Consider the following 4,458-nt stretch of genomic DNA (forward strand, 5'->3'; position numbering starts at 1 on the left):
AGAGCAAGTCAGACAAGGAGAAGCAGATGGTTCTGTCTGGATTTAGAAGAGGAAAGAGCCTGGGTGCTCAGGTCTGCATCAGGGAAGCCTTCCCAGGGAAGGTGGCTCTGGAACTAAGTCAGAGAAATACCAAGGAAGGGAAAGGTCCCAGACAAGGGGCACAGCTGGGGCCAGAGCACAGAAGTAAGAATAGATTCTGTTTCAGAGGCAAGGAGTGAGGAAATCAGGCCAGGCTGAAGTAGTGGCTTTGGGTAAGGAGGTCATAGGAGACAAATCTGAAAAAGAAGCATGAACCAGGTTCTAGAAGACCTTAAATGTCCCACTATGGATGTGTTCTTTGATTGGATCCCAGGTCCCAAAGCTGCTGTAGGGCTTGCAGAAGCAGAGAGGCAAGAATACTCTACCAGCACCAAAGCCAACTGAACCCGGACCTCCCTTGATCCAGCAGGGTCCCCCTTCCCCACTTCCCCCTGGTACTAGCAGCCTGGTGAATGCTGCTGAGGGAGGCTGGTCCCCTGCTCTGAGAAGCCTCAGAGCATCACCATGGAGATGCTATGCCAGCCACACAAAAGGAGCTGCAAGCTCCCGAGCTCACTTGGGACTCCAGCTAACAAGGAGGTGGCAAAAGTGTTTCATTTTCTCTCTTCTTTTTGCTCTCTCTCAAAAACAAGAGGCAATTTACAAAGGCAAACAAACCCCACCCCAACCCTGGAAGGCAGCTGTAAGCCTGCCCTTCCGTGAAGGCTGGCCCCCTTCTGAGAGAAGGCAGACCCTGTGTCTGGGTTCCACAGTGGGAAGTTCCTAGGAGAGAAGAAGGGATGGGGAAACCAACAGGAAATGTAGCAGGACTGTTCCCCTTTTCTCTTGCCCTTATGGAGAGGGCAAACTCAGGGCCATGTGAACTTAATGTGAATGTAAGTTGATATCTCCAGTCACCCATTTTGGAGGTCTGAAAAGCAAACATCCTCTGTAATTGACTACAAAGCCTGGGCCCTTTCAATGGGGATAAATAACACCAATTGGGTATACCAGGAGGTTTTCACTCCACCACCACTCAATAGTTCCATTATGGATTAAGCATTCCAATGCAGCCAGTTCCCATATAACAGCCCAGGGAATCCTGATGACTGCATGCAAAAGGACCAGGAATGGCCTCCGAATGGTGGAGAGGGGAAAGCAACAGAAGGGACGGAGGGGAGGTGCCAGGACCTCCAGCAACAGACAGGGCGGGACAGGCTGTGGAAAGAAAGACTCGCTTCTGGGTTGGGAAGGGAGGAGCTCAGAGCAGCTCCAGCCAGCAAGCAATCTTCACACATTCATTGTCATTCTCTTCTGCAAAGGAGTGAGAAGAGGGGAGGGGGAGAGGTGGCGCCAAGAGAGGGAGCAAGCGGGAGAGGTGAGAAATCCAGCATCTTCAGACCTGCCCACACTGCTGGCTTCTCTGCTGCGTGCAATACCTCATCTCACAGTCATTAGAGAGAACCCACAGGAAGGATGGAAGCCGGACACCCCGAAGAGTGGGAAAATGAAGAGAACAGATGCAGACAGACAGACGTGCGTCTAAGCCTCTTGGGAGAGATGGGCCCCAGCTTGGCGCTGTCCCAGCCTTCAAAGTTCCAGAATCCTTGGAGTGGCAAATGGACCAGGATTGTGGTCACTTCCAAAGTCGCAGGGGAACCCAGCAAGCAAAGTCCCCATGTCTGATGTGAGCTCTGTTCCTTTTTCTCTGCCTTCTTCTGGGGCAAAAAGGGACTCAACATCCCCTCCAGTCTGGCTCAGCCTCTTCAAGCTCAGGAGCAAAGGGCTGCAAACTGCAAGGAAGGCTCGGGGAGGGGGGAAACCTAGGAATAGTCTTGGGAGGAGCAGCACTTGCTGCTAAAAGTGTTGAGTCAGATCCTGACAGTCTTCTACGCAGACCCTTGCAAGGGCTTCCATCTCACTCAGGGTAAAAGCCAAAGTTGTTACGTCAAGGCCCCATAAAATCTGCACACACATACACACCCCTCCAACCCACTGCCTTTCTGAACTCACCTGGTACGCTGCCTCTCACCTGCTCTGATCTAGTTGAAGTGCCTCCTTCTGATTCGCCAAATACCCTGGGACCTCAGGGCCTTTGCACTTGCTTTTCCTCTGCCTGGAACACATTCTCCAGATGTCTTCATGCCTCACTCCCTGAGGCCTGTATTTCCACATGACTTTCTCAGGGAGGCTTCTTGGTCACTCTACATAAAACTGCAGCCACCTCCAAAGTCTCTGTCCCTCTTCCCTGTTTTGTCTTTTCATAGCTTTAATCACCACCTTTATGTACTTGTGTATCAAGTTTACCGTCTGTATCTCTCACTGGAGTCCACATTCCATGATGATATGAATGTTTGACTTTTTTGTTCACTGCTGTACCCTCAGCACCTAGAAGCATTTTGGCAGATGGTTGGTACTCAATAACTATTCAATGAATGAAAGAAACATCCTAAGCTTGCTCCTCACTCATCCCTTGAAGTACCTAGAAAAACATACCCTCTAAATGCCTCAGAAGACACCAGCCTCCCTGGAAAATTACTGGTTCCTTGGACCCAAGCTGAGACTGGACACGAGAAAGATGGCAGGGCTAACCGGATGGAGGCTTTTCTCCTGCTAGGTCCCAAGAGGGTGGAATGTGGGTAAGGGGAGACACTTCTGAGTAAGAATCACTCTGAACACCTGGATGGCACCATCACCATGTGCAAAGAGCAAATTCGTTTTGATCATAAGTCTGTCCTTCAGTGAGGGCACACACACTCTCATGCTCACACACACACATGCATGCACACACACACACACATGCTCACACACATGCATGCACAGGGGTATGCACATCCATTTCAATTTCCACCCCAACTCATTGAGGAAGAAAAGAGCTCCAGAGTGAGCAGACTCAGTTTCTGGTCCCTGAGCCATCACCCCCAGGCCCTGCAGCCTTTAGTGCCTGCTGAAACTAAAGAGTCACCTTGCTCATCTCTGGAGGCCCAGAAGTGCCTGCTCACTCTGCCTGCTCATCAAGATTGGCATGAGGGTCTGGGTTGGGATCGAGTGTGACCACCTTCAGCAACATCATCCCACTGGAAAACATTCTTAATACCTATATATCATTCTTGCTGATTTCTGCCTATCATTGGTGATGGTGGGGTTAGGGAGAGGGAGATGGAGAAGCAAGAGCAAAGGGGAGAAAAATAGCCCTCAGGATAACAAACCATGAGGCAAAGCACTAATCAGCTTGCTGGGTTGATTTCCTGTGGAAGCAAATGCGTTTTGCAAGGTTGGATGAATAATGGGCAACGCAAACTCAGACCGCTGGCTCCCTGGCATGGGTGCAATCCCAGTCCAGCCTTCCCTTCCCCTCTCTGGGCTGGTGGGACCCAGGGCAAGGGCACTCACACTCCTGGCAAGCTGGGCAGGTGCCCACGATACCCTAAAGGTGCTTGGGGCTGGGAGTCTCTGGGCCATGGCAGCCTGGCTGCAGTTGGCACTCTCGGCCCAGCTGGGCCAGTTGGGCATTATTTATAATTGAGCTTATCGTGTGCAACCCTCACTGTCGCTGTCAGAACCATTTGATGTCGTTGAGCCTTTGGAAAAAGGAGAGAGGCGGGAGGGAAGAGGCAAAGGCAGGAGAAACAAAAGAAGTTTCGTAGCAGGACTTCAAAAAAGCCAAGTGTTTGAAAAGATCTTTGCTAAGGTTCTGACCTACTTTGCATGTGGATAAGCCATCTCTTTCTCTTTAAAAGAAAAAAATCCCATACAAAGTGGTCACAGCTCTATTCAGGAGAGCCAGGGCTGCACGGCAGAAAGGGGCTTTAGTGCTGTAATCAGAGGCCATTTAGGAGCCATGATTTGGGTAATTATGTAAGATTTCAGCCTCTCTTCTTCTAGGGCCATGCATAGCCCTGGTAGATGGGCTGCCAGAGCAAGACAGCCAGGGATGAAAGAGCTGGTGCCCTGCAAACCATGCCTCAGGGAGCAACCTCTGCACTCTGGCAGGAGTCACACCTCACCCAGGTGCAGACTCTGACACCTCCCAGCTGTGGAACCTTGGGTTCCTGACCTAGACTTTCAGGGACTCACTTTTCTCTTCATATGCATACCTCAGAGGAGATATACACTAAGGGCTCAATAATGGTGACTCTTTCCTCCCAGTTTTCTAGAATGAATTGGGAGGAGTCATCCCATCCTGTTCACAGATTCCTTGGACCAATTAATGTCAACTGGGGTCCCCAGTGACCAGTGATTAGAACATAAGCAGTGGGCCAGGTGCGGCAGCCCACGCCTGTAATCCCAGCACTTTGGGAGGCCAAGGCAGGTGTATCATTTGAGGTCAGGAGTTCAAGACCAGCCTGGCCAACATGGTGAAACCCCATCTCTACTAAAAAAAAAAAAAAAAAAAAAAAATATATATATATATATATACAAAAATTAGCCAGGCAGTAG

At 50.3% G+C, this 4,458-nt stretch overlaps 3 annotated features.

Moving 5' to 3' along the window:
- Positions 1,107–1,401: a silencer, noted in NCBI's record as "tiled region #931; K562 Repressive non-DNase unmatched - State 24:Quies, and HepG2 Repressive non-DNase unmatched - State 22:ReprW". NCBI's record gives its function as "represses a minimal TATA promoter and a strong SV40 promoter by Sharpr-MPRA in K562 cells, with weaker repression in HepG2 cells {active_cell/tissue: HepG2 | K562}" and the evidence as "EXISTENCE:reporter gene assay evidence [ECO:0000049][PMID:27701403]".
- Positions 2,957–3,458: an enhancer, noted in NCBI's record as "H3K4me1 hESC enhancer chr11:116136339-116136840 (GRCh37/hg19 assembly coordinates)". NCBI's record gives its function as "activates a minimal SCP1, AML or CMV promoter by ChIP-STARR-seq in primed H9 embryonic stem cells {active_cell/tissue: H9 hESC(primed)}" and the evidence as "EXISTENCE:reporter gene assay evidence [ECO:0000049][PMID:30033119]".
- Positions 3,459–3,958: an enhancer, noted in NCBI's record as "H3K4me1 hESC enhancer chr11:116136841-116137340 (GRCh37/hg19 assembly coordinates)". NCBI's record gives its function as "activates a minimal SCP1, AML or CMV promoter by ChIP-STARR-seq in primed H9 embryonic stem cells {active_cell/tissue: H9 hESC(primed)}" and the evidence as "EXISTENCE:reporter gene assay evidence [ECO:0000049][PMID:30033119]".

Source organism: Homo sapiens, chromosome 11, assembly GCF_000001405.40.
Source record: "Homo sapiens chromosome 11, GRCh38.p14 Primary Assembly".
Lineage (NCBI taxonomy): Eukaryota > Metazoa > Chordata > Mammalia > Primates > Hominidae > Homo > Homo sapiens.